Source organism: Homo sapiens, chromosome Y (assembly GCF_000001405.40).
Source record: "Homo sapiens chromosome Y, GRCh38.p14 Primary Assembly".
Lineage (NCBI taxonomy): Eukaryota > Metazoa > Chordata > Mammalia > Primates > Hominidae > Homo > Homo sapiens.
In genome coordinates, this window is record NC_000024.10 from 15,546,972 (window position 1) to 15,568,157 (window position 21,186).

General features: G+C 39.5%; 1 pseudogene; it reads left to right on the plus strand.

The window, feature by feature from the left end:
* On the plus strand, positions 247-19,938 carry STSP1 (steroid sulfatase (microsomal) pseudogene 1; annotated as a pseudogene).

The following is a 21,186-nucleotide window of genomic DNA, read 5'->3' on the forward strand; positions in this document are numbered from 1 at the left end:
TACAAAGAGTAGCTGGGCATGGTGGCACATGCCTATAGTCCCAGGTACTTGGGAGGCTGATGCAGGAGGATTGCTTGAGCAAAGACAAGTGTCTTTCTTGCACATATTGTGTGACAAAGGCAAGTTTTAAGAATGGCCGCTCCAGTCACTTTGTGCAAGGAGGGATAGGGGTCCAAGAGGTGGAGGGTCACAGCCAACCACAAGCCAGCATTGTTCATTTCCTTTTTGTGTCCTTGTCCTTTACAGGAAGAAGAAGATTCCTTTCCACCTACTGTTCTTTCCGTGAGAAGCTGAGAGCCATGCAGCATCAAGGCCGAACATCATCCTGGTCATGGTTGACGACCTTGGCATTGGAGATCCTGGGTGCTATGGGAACAGGACTCTCAGGTTGGAAAGGCAGCTCCTCAGTAAACACATAAATCATAATGTTGAAGAAAATCTTCTCCACAAGACATAGCCAAATGTGTCTCACTTTCAACCTGAACCTTTGCATAACATTGCTTTTTACTTTTTTAAAATTAGATTGACCTATGATGTTGCTTAAATTTTAAAAAGCATATGCAAAGATAAGATCTCAGTTTTAAGAGAGCACTTTTAATTAATTATCTATGTGTGTTTTCTGCCTCACCTTTTGCCTGCATTTTTAAAACTTTTACAGATTACTTTTTACATCTGTGATATAGATCTTTTTAATTTAGTTTTTCTTACCAGTGTCACAATTTTATTCAGTTTTTTATTTTATCTTTTTTTAACTTTATGTATTCCTAAGGTGTATTGAGATAATAGATAACTGTTCCTACCAAGATGTCTTAATTAAAAAGTTAGAGCCAAGTCTTTAAAGTTAACTCTTTACCAATTATCAAAAGAAAAAATGTCTAAAAGTCCCATGGAAGAATTGATAGCAATATCAACCCTAGATCTGTCTTGGGCTCTATGTTAGAGTCCCGTTTTTTCTGAGTTACATTTCTCATATTATAGTTTGTAATATCACACCCCAAAATAGTCATTTTTTTCCATGGGCCAGTATAGACACTAGGAGGTTTAATTCAAATGCAAAAACCCTCTCCATCTTCTAAGCAGCTCACTCTTTAAGAAAACAGCAAAGTAGAAATACTGATAATTAAACACATTCACTAAATTAATAAATGGCCACTAGTTTGACATTACAGATCCAAAGGAAGTATTTCCCCCTTCAAGCTATGCATCACTGCAGCACTACTCTTGGAGAGTATTGCTCTAGGGAAGACATAGGACCAATGAACAAGATGTATACTCCCACCCCACAGGTGGCCATCTTGGAGGGGAGCCTAGTTAGCCATATCATTGCTTCACAGTGAGGAAGCTGGTGGGTTGGTGGAGTATGGACTACTCTCCTAAATACAGGTCATTTCCTTGCATAAACAAGGAAGAGCACTGGAGGCCCCTGAGAATTTCATCTGTACCTGGAACTGAAGGATGGCAGATGACTAGCCAGGTAGGGAGAAAGGGATTCCAGGATTCCCAGTGGAGGACTTGGGATATATCTTGTGGGGTATAGCTTAGTATGGTCCAAAAACTAAAACATATTAATTCCTAAATGACTTCCAAACGATGATCAGCCTATCCATTCATGGAGAAAAGGCACCAGGGTGGCTTATCTTGCATAAGGTATCACTTTACAAGTGAGCTCATAACAAGTATTTATAAAGTGTATTAAAAAATAAGCCAACAAAGGGTATGTGGGGATCACAACATCTAATTTCTTCACTATAATGTTTGTGCGTTTTCCCTGGAGCATATTAACCCACTTATTGATGCTCACTGTTGAGGCAAATGGAATCTGAGTATTTCCTGTCCCTGGGGGCATGAGGAAATTAGGCAGGGGCTTATTAAAGCTGGTTTTTGTTATTCCCTTTGGCTGTGTTGGGAAGAGGGGAGTCAGATTGACCCTGCAGATTTCTCTTTTTGGGAAACAGAGAAACTTGGAAGATGTGAGTGGGAGTACCTTCCCTCCTTGTAGTATACCATTTCTAAGACTTGGTTTCTCTCTTCAAACTCGGGGCTAGTGGGACCAGGAGCTCACAGCCCTCTATAGCATGAATGGACCTTCTGGGGATGTCCTACCTTCATCATTCACATATCTCCATGGTTTTGTTGTAGTTTGAGTCTTGGTTCTGTATCATTTCTTTCCTGCTTCCTCTGCATCTCATTTTTTCTCTCTCCCTCTCATAACCCCAGACTCACCCTTGCTCATTGAAAAGTTTCTTACTATAAAGAGCCACAGCACAGCTTCATTTTGAAAATTATCACAAGGCGGCTGGGCACGGTGGCTCACATCTTTAATCCAAGCACTCTGGGAGGCTGAGGCAGGCAGATCACTTAAAGTCTGGAGTTTGAGACAAGCCTGGTCAACATAGCGAAACCCTGTCTCTACCAAAAAATATAAAAATTACCCAGGCATGGTGGTACATGCCTGTTGTCACAGCTACTCACGAGGCTGAGTTGGGAGAATTGCTTGAACTCTCAGACGTTGGGGGTTGCAGTGAGCGGAGATCGCACTACTGCACTCCATCCTGGGTATAGAGTGAGACCATGCCTCAAAAATAAATAAATGAACAATAAATGAAAATGATCACAAATACTATCATTCTTTTTTCTAGGACTCCCAATATTGACTGGTTGGCCAGTGAGGGAGTGAAACTCACTCAGCACTTGGCAGCATCACCGCTGTGCACACCAAGCAGGGCAGCCTTCATGACTGGCCGGTAGCCTGTCTGATCAGGTAACCTAACTGCATTGCAGGGGCTGTGGTCTCCTTTGGGACAGCTTCTCACCTCCAGGTATCTCCTGGTTCCTAAGGGTTTATTTTTTCCTGGTTCAGGAATGGCATCTTGGTCCTGCACTGGAGGTTTCCTCCTCACAGCCTCTTCGGGAGGACTTCCCACCAATGAGATTACCTGAAGGTTGAAGGCTATTCAACAGTGCTAATAGGTATGGGCATCTGAGGAACAGCAGGGAGGACTTGGACAAAGTTCGTAGAAGAGTGGGAGAGAGCATCATGACAATTATCTTAGGGATAACATCAGTGGTATACTTTGAACAATTTTAATTGGGAACAAAATTATTTCAATTCTAGGTTAAAACCACAATGAGCCTACCTGGACTACTTGAATGTATAGATGTGTGTGTGTGTGTGTGTGTGTGTGTGTGTGTGTGTGTGTGTTTTGTCTGGTGTGTGTGTGTAGAGATAAATAGATACTTAGATAATTCCTTATGATAGATGGATAAATGGATGAATGGATGGTTGGAAGAAAGCATTGATGAATGGATGGATAGGTAGATAGATAGATAGATAGATAGATAGATAGATAGATAGATAGATAGATAGATAGATAGATAGATAAAGATGATATAGATGTGATGGATGGATGGATGGATGGATGGATGGATGGATGGATGGAATAGATGATAGCTAACTAGGTAGCTAATTACCTAGCTACCTAGATAGATAATAAAGAGACACATAGAGAAACAGATAGAAATATAGAGAGATACATATATACATCGATATATAGACAGATGCAGAAAGAGACAAAGATGAGATAGATGGATGGATAAATTGATAAAATAGATGATAGATAGATAGCTAGATAGATAGATATTATCAATAAATAAATGCAACGAGAGAGGCAAAGATGACAGATGGGATGGATGGATGGATGGATGGATGGATGAAATAGAGATAGATAGATAAATAGATAGATGAAATAGATGATAGATGTAACAGATGAAAGATAGACATATAGATGGAACACACAAAACTATATATACACATCATGCTATTGATAAAAATTTTCATTTTACTTTCCAGTACTAAAATTATGTCAGAATTTGTCATGGTTGACACACTCACTGATTTTATACTGTAGATAGGATTGACACCTTCCTGACTGCATGAAGAACTTGAGTCTAAGCAAGTCGTAAGATGAATCCTAGCGAACCTCAGAGGAGCAAAATGACTCATCTCTTTCTTCCAACATCTTGTTAAAAAAAATCATTTTTTGAGGCACTCATTAATTTAGTGATCTAATTAACATTTTATAGGACATTTTCAGAGGTGCTTTAAATAATTGCTGAGTTACTGAGAGTGATTTCTTCATGTCTCAGGGGTATGTTCTGAAGTAAGTATTCATTTCCACTTTTAACATTCATGGAACAAAATTAAGTTGCTTCTAAAACTTTAATTTTAAGGGCCTGTCTCAGAAAAGCATCTGGGCAAGAAAAAGACAAAAAAAAAAAAAAAAAAAAAAAAAACCCTTGTAATTTTCTGTGGAGTGTTTCCTGCCCATTAAAAATGTTAGGTATTTTCTTTTGGGATTTTGATCCGGTTGGGCTTTTTTGTTTTTTTTTGTTTTGTTTTGTTTTGTTGGAATCACTAAATTACTTCCTATTTTCTGGTAGACTGAGTAGGTAATACCTTAGCATTTGTGGAAAAAGAAGTGAAAAACTCTAAGGTCCTATGAGCAGGAAGGTTAGCTTCATAAAGTAGTCAGAAAGAGCCTCCTTTTCAGTATGTGGGAAAAGAAGCTTGGATTGGAATCAGGGTATTTATTGGGACTGAAGTGATCCCCCATTTGTCTTCTCAGAGAAATGGCACATTGGGATAAGCTGTCACAGCAAGACTGACTTCTTGCTTTTCATCATAGCTTTGATTATTTCTATGGGATGACCTCCTTAACCCATCTGAGAGACAGCAAGGCAAGGGAGGGCAGTGTCTTCACCATGGGCTTCAAGAGACCGGTCTTCATCCCCCTGCAGATCATCAGAGTGGCCCTCCTTACCCTCACTGCACTCAATTGTCTGGGGCTGCTCCACCTGCCGCTGGCCACTTTTTTTGGCCTTCTCTTCCTAGCAGCTCTGATCCTGATCTTTTCCTGGGCTTCTGTGATTACTTCCAGTCCCTGAACTTCTTCATCATGAGGAACTACCAGATCATTCAGCAGCCCATGTCCTATGGCAATCTCACTCAGAGGCTAATGGTGGAGGCAGCCCAGTTCATATAGTGGTGGGTATTGCCTTGACTTCTGATACTGCCTGTAAAAAAAAATCATTCTGGGTTATTTTTTTGTGGAGCTGGAAGAACCAGCAGCGTTATTGTGCTAGCCACATTTTCCCTTCCATACCTAACATATTTCTTCATCCAGAGATCTCCATAGCACATGTTTAACAGCTTCAGAAAGGTATTGCAATGCAGTGTGCTCTCCTTAGGGTCTCTTTGCCAACATTCCCCACATCCTGGGCCAGAAAGTCCATGCCAAAATAATGTCTGCTGATGACAAAGGAGGTGTCAGATAACCCGCTGGCCTTTACTCTTCAAATGTGGCCATCAAGAGAGGCAAGGTAATGGTTTATGTTTAGCTGAGAGATTGTCCTTGTGACATAAATAATGTGGAAAGATCCAAAATATTTTGGGCCAATCTCTGGGCAAACAAAACAAAACAAAGACCTCTGTAAGTAAATTGGGTGAAGTGAATGACATCTTTTGGGTCTCTTGAGTCCCACTGAGTTTATAGTTTTGGGGATTGCAATCTGTAAATGGAATAACTGTCAACAGAGGAGCAGAGAATATTCCTGAGTTATACAGGTATAAGTATAATATATACGTATATTATAATACATAATATAGAGAGCATGAAAATACATAGTTAGATATGTAAAGGCTAATCAAGAATATTTGCTATTCAAAACACACAAATTAAAGTATTTTTTCAACTTGTAACTGTAGAGGACAGGACATTGAAGAGAAATGGAAATTTCAACTGAAAATCAGAACTTTGGTCTTTTTTTTGTTTGTTTGTTTGAGACGGAGTCTCGCTCTGTCGCCCAGGCTGGAGTGCAGTGGCGGGATCTCGGCTCACTGCAAGCTCCGCCTCCCGGGTTAACGCCATTCTCCTGCCTCAGCCTCCCAAGTAGCTGGGACTACAGGCGCCCGCCACTACGCCCGGCTAATTTTTTGTATTTTTAGTAGAGACGGGGTTTCACCGTTTTAGCCGGGATGGTCTCGATCTCCTGACCTCGTGATCCACCCGCCTTGGCCTCCCAAAGTGCTGAGATTACAGGTGTGAGCCACCGCGCCCGGCCAGAACTTTGGTCTTTATGGTGACTTAAATCCTAGGGAAGATTTAAAAGATAGTTTTGGGGGTGATTAAAAAATTATAAAGGAGGCAAAGGAAATGTAAGTAATATTGGTTTATCATCCAAATAATTGCATGACACAAAATTCTAAAATCAATATCTGGATTGAACAATTATTGACAATAAAAGGGAAGTTACTGTGATGAAAGGAAAGTATATTAGAGATTTAATTTAAAAATAAGCAAATGTGCTTAGCCTAAGAAGAAATATGTAGTTAAGGTATGTGGAAGCTACATAAGGTAGGACTGGTGAGAACGGTAAAAGGTAACATACTCTGTGAAAATTATTTTGTCGTTTCCTCACATGGAAGATGTTGTGTTCCTCTGTCCAGATCTTGTGTGCATGGAGTTGATGCTTTACTGGAGGTTGGGAATGGCAGTGGTTCTCCTCACTCTCTTCTTCCAGTTATGAAACAGCATAGAAGCAACCCATTCACCTGGAGGTACAACAGTGTCCTGCTACCCACAACATCATGGATTATGCAATAGATAAATCATAGGGTATATTTTTGTATATCTGTTATCACAAAAGTGTTTCGTCAACTCTGACAGAAACCCACATATGGTTTGGGTGTCTGAACAGACTATGAAGTGACCTACACAAAAGTTGCCATTGATAGTGTCATTTCCTCCCTCTAAAAATCAGACAGAAGTAGAATGATTAGTTCTTATAGTTCACACCACCTCTCAGTTTTAACAAATTTTATTAAAATCTAAATTGTTGTTTAACTGTGAATTATAAAAACTGGTCATTGGTCATTGTAACTATTCTCAGTTTCAGCCTCTGGGACTTGACTCCAGAGAGTATTCTATGTACTAGCTGTCCAACTGCTAAGAGAGCACCTCACAGTTTTTTTCATTTTGGTTAGCATCCCACTTCCTCTGCCATTTCTGTTTTTGTCAGTGAAGACTGACAAAATCTTGGAGGATTAACACTTGAAAGTTTGTTTCTTGCCCATTCAAAATCTATTGCTGCTTGGGTGACGCTGTAGGGAAGCTTTGCTCCATGAGGAGACTCAGGGATCCAGGTTGCTAATATCTTGTGCTTCTGTCATCTTAGTAGGTGGCCTTCCCAATGGCATCCACAGGAGAAAAGAGTTGAAGGATCACTTGGCAGCTTTTCCTTACTTCACTGACCTAGGGGTCAGCTTGTAGAACAGGCCCCATGTCTCCACACTGACTTGACGTGGGGCTAAGAGGCAGTCTCCCCATATGTTCAGGAAGAAGAAAGTGAAACAGCCTTACTGAACACATAGAAGTGATTTTCCTACTGCAGGCAGTGATTTTCAAATTTGTTTTAAAGCTGAGGAATATTTCAGATGAAATTTTATGAGAAGCTAAGTATGTCAGAGGCATAAAAGTTGCAGTGCTTGGGTGAAACTGGAACAGAGGACTGCATTTGGAAACTACTGACATTTAGTAAAGCCCCATGAAACCTCATGAACAGCTGGAGAGAAAGGGCAGACTCTGAAACAAAAGAATAAAAGAACATCTGAGCAAACATCTAGTTAGTGCAGACTCTAGGCAAATTAATATTTAACAGACATTCATAAGTACAAAATGTAGGCACATGAAGAGAAAAATCAATATGAGCCTTGGAATTTTAAAAAATGGTTATTTGATATTACAGCTATATGAGTGGAGGTTGAAGGAATTTGCCCGAGTTTATAGATAAATGTAAACTAAAGGGGCTAATTTATTATAAAATTTGGATTGTAGACATGACCACATAATGACATTTTGGTCAACAGTGGACCACATATATGACAGAGGTCCTATGAGATTATAATGGAGCTGCCTTATAAAGCTGGACGTTTGTATCTTTTATACTGTAATTTTTCCTGTTCCTTTTCTTTGTGTACATATGACTAGATACACAAATACTTGCCATTGCTTTGCAGTTGCCTGAAGTACTCAGTACAGTCACATGCTGTGCAGGTTTGTAGCCTAGGAGTAATAGGCTTTACCATATAGCCTCGGTAGATAGTAGGCTGCACCATCTAGGTTTGTGTAAGTGCACTCTATGATGATTGCACAATGATGAATTTGCTTAATGATGCATTTGTCAGAACTATATGAGAACTATGTCTCTGCCACTATATGATGCATGTCTGTACTTGAAGTGTTGATGTAAAGTATACTCTTCATTGGTATTGTAATATTTTCATCAGAGAAAGAGTAAAGAAAAAATATTTTTTGGTGTTGTGTGTGTGTATGTTTGTGTATACATGTATGTGTAAAGTAAATATATATGTGTATATATGTAAACTAAATACGTGTTTATATATATGTGTATGTATGTGTACTTTACACACATATGTATTTAATTTACAAAGAGATAAATTATTGATCCTGATTTCCAAGGGAAGCTGTAGGAGATATGCATGTATAGCAGCAGCAAGTATTAATGTAAAGAATAAAAAATTTTCTACCCAGGGATGGATAATAGCCACTGAAAGTCCTTTAAGCAACTATTTATTGGTCTGTCAGAATCCAGGTAAGATGTGGGCTATTTGTCATGATTTTCACAGATTTGGGCTGACGGGCACATGCTGGAGGGGTTGTGAGTCGTTCTTGGGCAATATGCCTATAGTCTGGGTGCCTGTCCTGGGTAAACATTGGGGTCTGTGGGTAACCATAGCTCCATCATGTCATGCCCATGCTGACAGCCTGTCTTACCCAGGCACCAGAGACTGCAGAAACCTATCGGATTCTGCTCACAGTAAAATGGTATGGTGAAGGATGTTGTGCAATTCCTGAGAGAGGAAGGAAGACTTTAAGCTGTCAGTCACACTCCTGAACATTTATTTCAAGTATTATTTTCACAGAGATACTGCAGAGTTATCAGTGCCAGTGTTCAGCCCACACAGCTAGATGCAGGCATTGCAGGGGTGGCCACCTGCCTCCTGGACATGGTGCTTGATTCAGAACTATGCATTGTAGGTGGCCCTTTGCTAGCCTAGTGTGTGGTGGGTTATAATATAGGATCATTATGACTTCCTAAAGGTAAACAAAGAGGGGAAAAGGGAGATAGTCTAGGACTACATGGGTAGACAAGTGATACCTCAGACTTTGCATAAGGAAAATCCCAGAGGTGCTTATTACAGCTGAAGATGGCCAGGATGAACTCTAGGGACTGTCACAGAGTAGTCCTGAAATGAGACTTTGCATCAGCATTTTAATAAGCTTCCCAAAACATTCTAAACTGGGTGTTTCATAGGACACTCTAAGAAACACTGGGTTTCATATACATGTATGAGCTTTGGCCACTATGCTGAAATATTGCAATTATTTGTCACCTAGATTTTTCTAGAACTTGATGCCAACATGTAAAAGCTTTGGAACTTAATAAGATACATCATTCAGTTATATCATCATCTAATAAGATACACACAGATATGTGATTGAAACAAAAGCTTACAGAAATGATCTTTCTCTTACTAGGGTAATTACCCTAATATTTTCTACCCCGGTTTATTCTGTTTTTTTTTTGTTTGTTTGTTTGTTTGTTTGTTTGTTTTATGATCTGGTTGTGGAACTAAATTAAATTCATGATGTATCAATGGGTCACAGTCTACATGATTGACCATGTTCTTACCTGGTGTGCGAGCTTTACTGTGTTTGATAAACAGGAGCATAGCCATTCCAAGATGGAGCAACACTCTGGGAAGAATGTCAGGCCAGTCTATTTAAGGCATAAAACAACAGTGTGCTGTTTGTCAAATTTGCTGGGAAAGCTGGACATCCTTATATTAGTCTTCATCTACCATGAATCTCTCAAAAGCATACAGAGTGGAGATTAATAAAATGTCCTTCATATAATGATGGTCAAAAATGACCCTGGGCTTCCAGGCTGAATCACCTTGTATGACATGTATTTTGTGTGAAATTATTTAATCTGTTAGGTATGTGAATATTCATATGATTAAAAGGCATTTTAATGGCTTCCTTAGTATATAATTTTGGGAGGGGACCAAAACAAATTTGATGATCATGAGGACATTGAAGCCTGACAAGCTAATATTTATTACCTCTAATTATTCGGGAGCTAAGATTTTCTTTTAGAACTAGAGATTTAAGATGTTCTAGCAACATCAAAGTTGGAGGGATGGTTATTGAATTACAACAAAAGAGTTTTTTCTTTAAAATAGGTGATTCTAGTGTAGATGGCTATTATCCACATTGGAGCACGCACTGCATGGTTAATATTAGTGAAAATGCTAGCATTTTGAACACTGTGATGCCATTCACAAACAGCTTCTTACGTACATTATCTGAAGATACAAAGATTTAAAGCACATTGTTACAATCATCCTTGGGTAGAGCTGTCTATCTGTGTTAGATTAGTTATCTAATTCTCTGAATATGATATCCAAGAGTCCTGAGAGAATGGCCTTGATATGCTACCAAAGACCTAATATTTGTGACACCACTATGTTCAGAAAACATTCCTTCAATATCTGAAGACACATTTATGTGTGTTATTTCATTATCAAGAATATCCTGAGCAATTTAGCCAGGTCTTACAACTTTTGTAAGAAATGGAGGTAGAGTTATTCAGCAGCTGAAAATGGAATGCCTGATTAAAGCAATGGTAGTATTAGTGGAATTTATTCAAACGCTTTTGAATTTAAGAATTTCCAGTTGCAACTGGTGCCTTGTTTAGATATTTTAACATATATATATATATATATATATATATATATACACTTATGTATTTGTACACAGCTTTTTCTCAGTTCATCTGTCAAAGGTGGGAGGAAAATGATTTAAAATTCTTACTTCTAAAATTTACAGTCTTTCTCTATGCTGTGTTGCTGATATGATTTATACTCAGGGGTTTGCTCCTGAGATGCTGGCTTGTGATATTAGTGTATGAATGACAAGGGGGCATAAGGCAAAGATGCTTCATTGGTTTGTGATTCTTGAAAATGAGGTCCACATAGTCAAACCCAGTTTGTGGCCTGGGATTCCATGCACATATTTTCAAGTTGAGGAGAGTGATGATTTAGAATATATAAACATGCACTCCACAATCTTTCACCCTAATTGTCTCATTGAAGGATAATAAATTTATCCTTCTATTACTAGAGAGTTGGATAATTAGCTCACCATATGTTATATGCTGCATAGTCACACAGGAGATGGGTCATCTTGCATACACTTTAACCAGAAATCCTTGTTATTCTTGCAGAGAGGAATGAACTATAAATTTCGTGAAGATACCCAATGCTCTGTATGTGCTCTGCAGATTCATCCCATTATGACAGTTTTGGGTTTTGCCATTCCTCTCTTCATTTCAATGCAAAACAGATACAACTTAGGTGCACAGCAGAAATGGTAACACAGAATGGGACATGTTCAAGTATAATGTACACCATGAAGTGGTTGCCAATTATGTATCAGGTGCTGTGGATACACACATTGCTTTGTGTACCTTCCATACCCATTGCTTCCTTCATACCACATAACAACCTCATAAGGTCGGTAAATAGATGTCTCATCACGAAGAAACTTTCAGGCTGAAGTCCTTTGATTTCAGCCCCACAGGTAATAAAGAGTAGAGGCTGAATTTAAACAGAGTAAACTCAATCATCTGAATGTTGGAATGGTCCACAAACAGTTGGGGGATTCTCTTCTCCTCCATCCACTCTGGTGCGGTAGACTTACTGAGTGAGGATTAGCTGGAAGAAGATTAGGGCACTATATGGGTGTCTGAACACCTTTCTCTAGATAGAAGAGTCTAGGTCCAATGCTTAAGGAAGGAGAATGCATCTCTTTAATCCTCGTAGATAAGTTTCAATGTCAGTATTGTTGTCATTACCATGGTAATGGAGAAGTACCTGAATGTTCTGATAAGAAAATAAGGGGTACATGATGATGGGTGAAGTTAGCAATGAATAGGTTATGTTATCCAATTATGGGATTTATAGATTTATCTGAAATTTGCCATAATTAAAGTTTCAATTAAAAACTAATAATCTGTAGTCACTCTCAATGTAGGCTAACTCTTGTTCTTTATCAATGATTTTTTTAGCAAAGGGTTTATGGGTACCAAATTGAAAATTTGAAAATGATGTAGAGTTCTGTTTTTAATCTCTGACTTCCTGCATAGTAACATCTCCTATTCTGACTATAATAAACCCTGCTCCCTGACAACTCTCCACAGAAAAACAAAACAAAACAAAACACCATGACATCAGCATGATAGAAAGTATCAGTAACCAAGGAGTTGGGGGTTGGAGGGAAATAATCTTCATGAAAAGATTATACCCCTAGTGGAGAACTGTGGAAAGACTGTCTCCTCTACCATTTCCTATCATCTGTAGTTTAATGGTAAATAAATACTCATTTCTATAAGCATTGCTTGTATAATCATAATCCCCTAAAATCTATGATAGATAGTAAATGTATTATTGGAAAATATATGACTTTTTGTCCTGGTCTATGTACTGCCATCACCATTTGGCAAGGTCACAATCCTGAAATGCATTTATCAGATACCTCCAGCCTATCCTCTCCCATTTCCAGCTGGACTCCAGTGTAAGTGGCTGTGATGAATAGCTGTGATTTGGCTAAAAGTGTCTTTTGAATAAAGTGATCTTTAGGAGATTTCATTACTTTAGATAAGAGTGTAAGCCAGAAAGGAATGGGGTGATATTGATTTTAATTCATGGTAAGAAAAGTAAATCAGATTAAACTTTAAGGGCAATACACGGGATACAAACAGATGCTCATTCAAAAATGGAAAAGTTAAATAATTAAAGAGTTGTCATCAAGAGTCACATTATTATATAACTGTAGATGACGCATGATTTGTTTTTAACTTTTGTGGGCCTATGAGATAATGTATTTGAAAATGAAGGTAACAGGCACAATTACTCATGCCTGTAATCCTAGCATTTTGGGAGGCCTAGGTGGGAGGATAATTTGAGCCCAGGAGTTTAAGACCACCTTGGGTTATATAGCAAGACTCTGCGCCTACAAAAACTAAAGAGACATTAGCTGGGCATGGTGGTGTGTGCCTGTAGTCCCAACTACTCAGCCGGCTGAGGTGGGCTAAGGTGGGAAGATTGCTTGATTCCAGGAGTTTGAGACCAGCCTGGGCAATATAGTGAGACCTTGTCTCTAAAAAAATAAATCTTAACTCGACATGGTGATGCACATCTATAGTCTTAGCTACTCAAGAAGCAAAGGTGGGAGACTCTCTTGAGCCTCAGAGTTGGAGGCTGCAGTGAGCTAAGACTGCAGAACTACACTCCAGCCTGCCCAACAGAGCGAGACCCTGTCTCTGAAAAAAAAAAAAAAAAGCTGGGTGAGGTGCTTCTTTTTTTTGTTTGTTTGAACCCCTGGTTTCTGCCTGAGCATATCATAACAATATAGGTTCTGAGGGATATTTATCTTTTGCCATACTAGATCCAGTGGGTCCATGCCATTCCCAACTCACTGGGGCATAAGGAATACTTAAACCTGACCCTGGAAATGCCCCTCCAACCATAAATTTCTGTATCTCTGAATATCATACCTGTGAATAGCTCGAAAACCTGCATGTTTATGGAAAACATTCACAAATGCTGTCATGCTATGTGAACCTTTGGAAGCTACCTCTTTCTAGGAGCAAATTCTGACCCCTGCCAGGTTGAGATAAGTTCTCCTTCTCTGAATTCATTCTCTGCAGTGCTGAGTAGGGGCACTTAAGACAGCTTAGATTAGCTGTCAATGCTCTTGTCTGAACTGTGGATTGCTGATGGCAGGGTCCGATCCAGCCTCCTTTTGTATTTCTAGTGCCTGGTATCATGTGTCAGCAGAACATTTGCTTAGTAACTGCAAAACTCAGATGGAAGACATGAACAGCTGGATGTATAAATCCACCTGCTGCACATAGAGGTGGTCACATGAACTTCAGGGAGGGTGGGGAGGCAGCGACTGTTGATACCGCTATCTGATTTATGCCATACTCTAATTACCAGCAGCAAAAGGTAACCAGAAGGAATTCACAGACATCCCTACTTGCATTCCCATTATTCCCTATGTCCACTGCAGTTGGAACAATACTACAATAATAAAGGTCAGACACTCAGATGAAGATTATTATTCTGAATATCTTCAGAATTATATTTAATGGCAGACAGAAAAAAATGCCTTAGGCATCTTCTTGCCTGCATTTTTATTCGTGCCTCTATAGGACATAAATCTTTTTTGTTCTGAGATTGGAATGATTACATGTTCCTGGAAAGGCTCAGGGCTGCCTTCAGTGTTTTTAACAAACGGAGCACAGGCATGTAGCAGCTGAAAGTTCTATCTTTTTGCACAGTGTGAAAAACAGTGGCAATAAATTTTCAAAACAGTTCTTTACTGAAGTACTCCAGCTAATAAAAAAGGAGTTAAGCTGTTATTGAGAAATCTTTCTCCTACCAACTTGCTGATATGTCATTCAGTTTTCTAGGTCATAGAGAAGAGAGCCCAGATCTCCTCCCTGAGCCTGGGTGTGAAGCAAATGACCTTTCCTGATCTCTCAAAGGATACTACAAAGCAAGAATTCCTTCACCCGGGCACAGGCTGTCAATTACACCCTAGGTGTGTGTGGGAAATCTGGTGATTTATGTCTGTCTAGCCAACATTCCCATGCACCATTGATTTCATTTCTGTTTCCAGATGGTAAATCTTGGAACAGTATTTTTGCAAGCCAAGTATGCTTTTCTGTGTTTTCTGGGTTTGTTTTTGTATCGTCAAACCTAATCAACTCTACTCGATGCACAGAGTATACACAAAGATGCTCGTATCTCTGATGTCACCTATAGGATGAAAAACCACTGCTTTATAGAGAGATGTTAGAAAATGAGTTATATAAATATGTGAATTGTGAGAACAAACACATTAATTTCCTTCTCCCTTTCTAAGGGGGATTCCCCTGCATTCCAAGACAAAGATCATGTTCATAGCCTTGATTGAACCCGGAGTTAGATCTCTGACTCATCTGCTATTGAAGTCCTCATGAACTGGCTTGTATTTCATGCTCTCTTATTTATTGGTTGTACCATCTTTATCATTTATTTCTTTATTTCCACCTCACATTTTAATATGCTTCAATTTTACAATCCTGTCAATCATGTTGGCTGGTGTCTGTTTCTTGTTTATCATTCTTTGTTGTTGTTTTTTTTTTTTTGAACTTTTGAACAAGAGGACAACCATCCAAAATTGGAGAATCCAAGTTGAAACATGCAGTAGCTCTTCCTGCTCAGCAAATTCTGCCAGTCACATGCTATATGACCATGCTTGGGAGATTGAAATTTTAAGCTTTCTCATCTATTTTCTTTAACTTTAAATCTAAAAATAAATGGGAGAGCAGATGAGAGAGAAATTGCAGTGAGACTATTCTCATACATAATGTAACTATCTAATTAGGAACACAAAGATTGTAATTTCATATTTGTTTTGAGGAATCTAAGCGAGTTTAGGAGAACACAATCTGCTTCTGGGGAAGGAGGTGCAATTTGCCCAGGTGTGAATAAACTTTCCCCATAATAAGTAGGATGGAGGCCTCACAGTCTGCCCTGGGTGGCCAAATTCTCTAACATACTGTGGCTCCATTTCAGCTCCTCCAGGTTCCTCAAGGGCATCTTCTCTTAGAAGGAGCCAAACACATGGCTCAGTAGAGAGGCTCATATGTAAGTCATCAGCTAGGATGACAATTACAGTGCTTCCATCTAAGCAGTAGTATGTCCTCTTTTCTTTCTGAGACATAATGGTGAATGTTACAGACCAGGTCCAGTGGGCTCTCATTGCATGCCTTCTTATTCCAGTTACTGTGAGAGGAGAGACAAACCCCTGAGGAATTTGTTCTTTTTTTTACTTTCTGGGCTGTGAGATATTAATTTCCTTGCTTTATATTCTTGTAAAAGATGGGGAGTGGGACATAAATTGCCACAATGTACTGGAATAATAAAACATGGTACTAGTTATTACCAACAACTTGTTAGATTTAATCTGCCTATTTTCAGAGAACTGGAGATACCTGGCTTAGCTCTCACCCAAAGTGTGCTGTTCTGTGTTAATTTTCTGTTTAACAGGAGTAGGGGTTAATAAATATAAGGATTGACCTTAAATGGGAAGTGTTACAGCCATAGGTGTGAGCAGTTCACCTAGAAGGAAACACATGGTCTGGAGGATCCCAAGGTATATTGACATTAGCAAAATACAAATGCATTTAGAAAAGCATACATCTGGGCCAGGCATGGTGGCTCACACCTGTAATCCTAGCACTTTGGGAGGCCAAGGCAGGCAGATCACTTGAGGTCAGGTGTCCAAAACCAGCCTGGCCAACATGGTGTAAAAATATCTGTATTAAAAATACTAAAAAATTAACTCGACATGCTTGTGGGCAACTGTAATACCAGCTACTTGGGAAGCTGACGCAAGAGAATCATTTGAACCTGGGAGACAGAGGCTGCAGTGAGCTGAGATCGTGCCATTGCACTCCAGCCTGGGTGACAGAGTCAGATTCCATCTCAGAAAAGAAAAAAAAAAAAAAAAAAAAGACTCTCCAGGCCCTAGCACCATGCCTGACCTGTGGAAGATGCTTAACAATATTGTTTTAGGGTTCCCTTTTCTAAGCCCCAACAGTGAAACTGGAGAATACTGAAGACAAAGAGGAGAAAACCAGCAGAGAATTGTCTCTCAGTCTCATCCTCTCCTGAGGCTAGCCGTACAAACTAGAATCCCTTTTCCCCAAGGCAGGTTATAGAGACCAGAACACCTTCTCCCCAAAGCTAGTCATAAGACTGAAAAATAGGACAAATTTTTCCTCATCATTTCTATGTAAAAACCGGCCATAAAGAAATCCCCCATCCTACCTTGTTTGACTGTGGGTCTTAGTAGTACCATTCCAGAGAAGGTCTTACACCACACCTAGGAGGAAGGCTCAGAGAGGCCAAGAAGAAACTAGATAGAAAGGCCTTGTCGGCTTTCCCCATTCAGTCCATTACCTTTTGCCCAATCCCATTTCTTTTTTTTTTTTTTTCTTTTTGAGATGGAGTCTCTCTCTGTTGCCAGCCTGTAGTGCAATTATACAATCTCAGCTCACTGCAACCTCCACCTCCAGGGTTCAAGCGATTCTCCTGCCTCAGCTTCCCAAGTAGCTGGAACTACAGTCATGTGCCATCATGCCCAGATAATTTTTGTGTTTTTAGTAGAGACGGGGTTTTACCATGTTGGCCAGGATGGTCTCTATCTCTTGACCTCGTGATCTGCCCGCCTTGGCCTCTCAAAGTGCTGGGATTACAAGCATGAGCCACTGTGCCTGGCCTGTCCAATCCTATTTGCACATGCTTTGTTGAACCTAAGCAGAAAAATAGACAATTTACCCTTTATCTTTGGATCTTCAATCTGAAGGCTCCTGTGTGTACACATTAAATGAATTTGTATGCCCTTTCTCCTATTAAAAAAAAAAAGAAATCAAATTCCTGCCCTCATCCATTCATTGATTCTCTCATTTGTTTGGCAATATTATTAAGCATCATCTACAGGCCATGCATGGTGCTAGGGCTTGGAGATTCAGTGGAAGGCAAATGCCCCATGGTGCTTTGCTCTGATGGGACTGCCTGGAAAAGGGGAACAGGCTCTCAGAGAATGTGGCATTGGAGATGGCTTCTGAGTAATGACTGCTTACCAGGGAGAGGAGGAAGTAAGTTTTAGGTTGAGAGATGATGATGTGCAGAGTATTGAGCTGTGAATATGCAAGCTGTGTTTGGGACTGGTTATCACATTGGGGTAGAAGCTGGGCTGTGTGAGAGTGTTGGCATCAACATAAGGCTTCATCAGGACTCTTCATGTTTTGTTAATAAATCTGAAGTGTAGTTATTTAAGGAACCCACCCAAGTTCACAGAAATAGTTAAAGCTTGAATCAGGGTAAGAAGAAGACATTGGGTAGTGGGCAGTGAGGCAGGGGCTGTCATTAAGGTGTTTCCCCTCTAAGCATTGCAGCTTCTTGCATGAATCTCTTAGAGCTTCCTCCACCCCTAGGGAAGTGGACACTTGTCCTGTGCCCTGATAGCCTTCAAAAAGGCCTCTCACCCAGTATTGTCTTTTAGCAGAAAGAAATTGCTAATTATTTCCCAGATGAGGGGTAAAGATTGAGCCTACAATGTGAAACTGAGACACAGCACTAAATGCATCTCTCAGAGGGCAACCTGAGGTGATGAAGCAGCCTTGGGACTTACTGATCTCTATCAGCAGACTCAGTTGTGAAAACTCAGACCTCCCTATAGCAACATTGCTCACAGCCCATTGTAGCAAGGGCCATGCATTGACAGTGACTTATAACTCTTGAACATCTGTGCATTGTAATCAATTCAAATGAAGGAGGTTTAGGTGCCCTCTGAATTTAGGAATACATTGGCAGTATCATTCCTCTCTCGATAGGTTTGGGCCAATTGAATGAGTGTTCTATTAAAATTTTGAATACTCTATTCAAAATTTCAGTATTGACCATTGAGTGTTCACTTTATACTTGTTGTATTATAGAAGCAGGTAGAACACAAAGTTGAGTTGGACTTAAAATGGCATTGATGAAAGTAGTTGACAAATGAAGGTACACAATGGAATACGATTTACCTTTAAAAAGAAGGTAATGCTGTCATTTGTGACAACATGGATGAACCTGGAGGACATTCTGCTAAGGGAAATAAGCCAAACACAGAAAGACAAATACTACAATATCTCACTGCTTTTTGGAATCTAAGAAGAAAGTTGAACTCCTAGAAGCAGACAGTAGAATGGCAGTTACCAGGGAATCGGGCTAAGAGAGTGGATGAGGAATGGGGAGATGTTGGTCAAAGGATAAAAAGTTATAGTTAGACAGGAGGAATAGTTAGGGTATGTATTGCCTTGCCTGGTGAGTATAGTGAATTACAATGTATTATATGTTTGAAAATTGTGGTGAGAGTAGATTTTAAATATTTTCACCTCAAAGAAATGACAACTATACAATAAATGAATATTTTAATTACCTTTATTTAATCATCCCACAAGTGGACATATATTACTGCATTGTCCACAACAAGTATATATGAGAACTATTGTGTATATCAATTTATTTATTTCAAATTGGTATTTGAATTTTTGTATATATATATTTCATATATATATGTATAATTATTTGCATATATCAATCACAATTTTTAAAAGATGGTATTTTTTAATAATGTGCATATATTTGTGTATAATTTTTTTCCGAAAGAAAATACTATTTTCAGGGTGCTTGAATTCATTTTAATCACCGCATACAGAAGGAAAAAGAGAATTTAAAACAAAACAAAAAAACAAATACAGACAATTTTCTATTAAATCTCTTTCTGAGTTGGGTCTTTGGGAGATGTGTCAGTAACATAATTCTTCACTTACTGATCCATAGAAGGTAACAATAAGTCACTTCATAGAGACAAAATAGAGACTTACCTTTCTCTGACAGAAGATACCATCAGGAAATTAACTTGTAGTATTTTGTGAATTTTCAAATAGCCTGCTATGATAATAGGTGGATCCTAATCAGAAGGGTGGCAGACATACTCACATTGTCTGTGGTCTTTTTTTCCTCCCTTTTTTTTTTTTTTTTTTTTTTTTTTGCAGGAACACTGAGACTCCTTTCCTGCTTGTCTTGTCCTACCTCCACGTGCACATGGCCTTGTTCTCCAGCAAGGACTTTGCCGGCAAAAGTAAACACGGAGTCTGTGGGGATGCTGTTGAGGAAATGGACTGTAGTGTGGGTATGTCTCTCCTCGGTGAATACTTAGAAAGCTGCTAAGTCTTTGCTTCCTTGTGTTTTCTTTCTTGTCTATTTCCACCTATGTTTCTGATGCCTTTAGAGACAGCAAGTGTATGGTGTTTTTTGAAGGTAACCAAAAATGCATTGATCCTGAAAGGTAAAGAGAATACAAAAAGCACCTTCACCAGCCAGGGCAACATAGGGAGACCCCATCTCAACAAAAAATAAAAAAAATTACCCAGGTGTGGTTGTGCATGCTTGTGGTTCCAGCTACTTGGGAGGCTGAGGTGGGAAGATGGCTTGAGCCAAGGAGGTTGAGGTTGAGCTATGATTCTACCACTGCACTCCAGTCTAGGTGTCAGAGTGAGACCTGTCTCTTTAAAAAAAAAAATCTTTGCCCCCATGTGCATGTCTGCAGTTGCCAGTGGATACATTGCAGGGGAAGTCTAGTCTGTGGTCTGAAGATGGAAGAGATTCATGAAGGAGAGAAGACAAAACATTAGTCCTTATTATCCCTTATTCTATCAGCAATGAAATATGAACAATGTCTTGTCATTATCAGTTAGATGTCTGGATCTTAGGCAGATAAAAGATGAAGGGGGTGAAGGGGAGGTTAGAGACTTGAGGCTTCTTCAGTTTAGCATGTCAAAATGCCATCTTTGGGGATATCAGTTGCTGAGTCCCAGCATGTAACCTCATTTTGTGCTGCCAGTGGTCTTTGTGCAGCAGGTGATGTTCTCATCATTCCCATTCCACAGGAAAAAGGCAAGCGAGGCTTGCAAGTTAAGTACACCCACCTCAGGTTACAGAATTCATAATGGATGAGCATGTGTTCAAATGCAGGTGTCCCACCTAGAACCTGAAATCTACATGACTTTATTCTTTTTCTTCCCATATAACAAGAAAGTGTGTATTATGTCAGTGCAGTCAACAACGTATCTCCAGGAAAGAGCCAGTTCATTTATTAGTCATGTTGACTGGATGTCTTCACACCTCCCTGTCTGTCTCTGATCTTTGCTTCCATAATCTTGTCTCCTTCACTTACTCTGACACACCCGCCTCCCTCTTATAAGGACACTTGGGATTATGTTCGGCCTGACTGGATAATCCCACATCATCTTCTCATCTCAAGATCATGAACTTAATCTGCAAATTCTTTTGCCCTGGGGTGTAACATGTTTGCCATGGGGTGTAACATCCCAGGGATTAGGATGAGGGTATTTTAGGGAGGTCATTATTCAGCCTACATG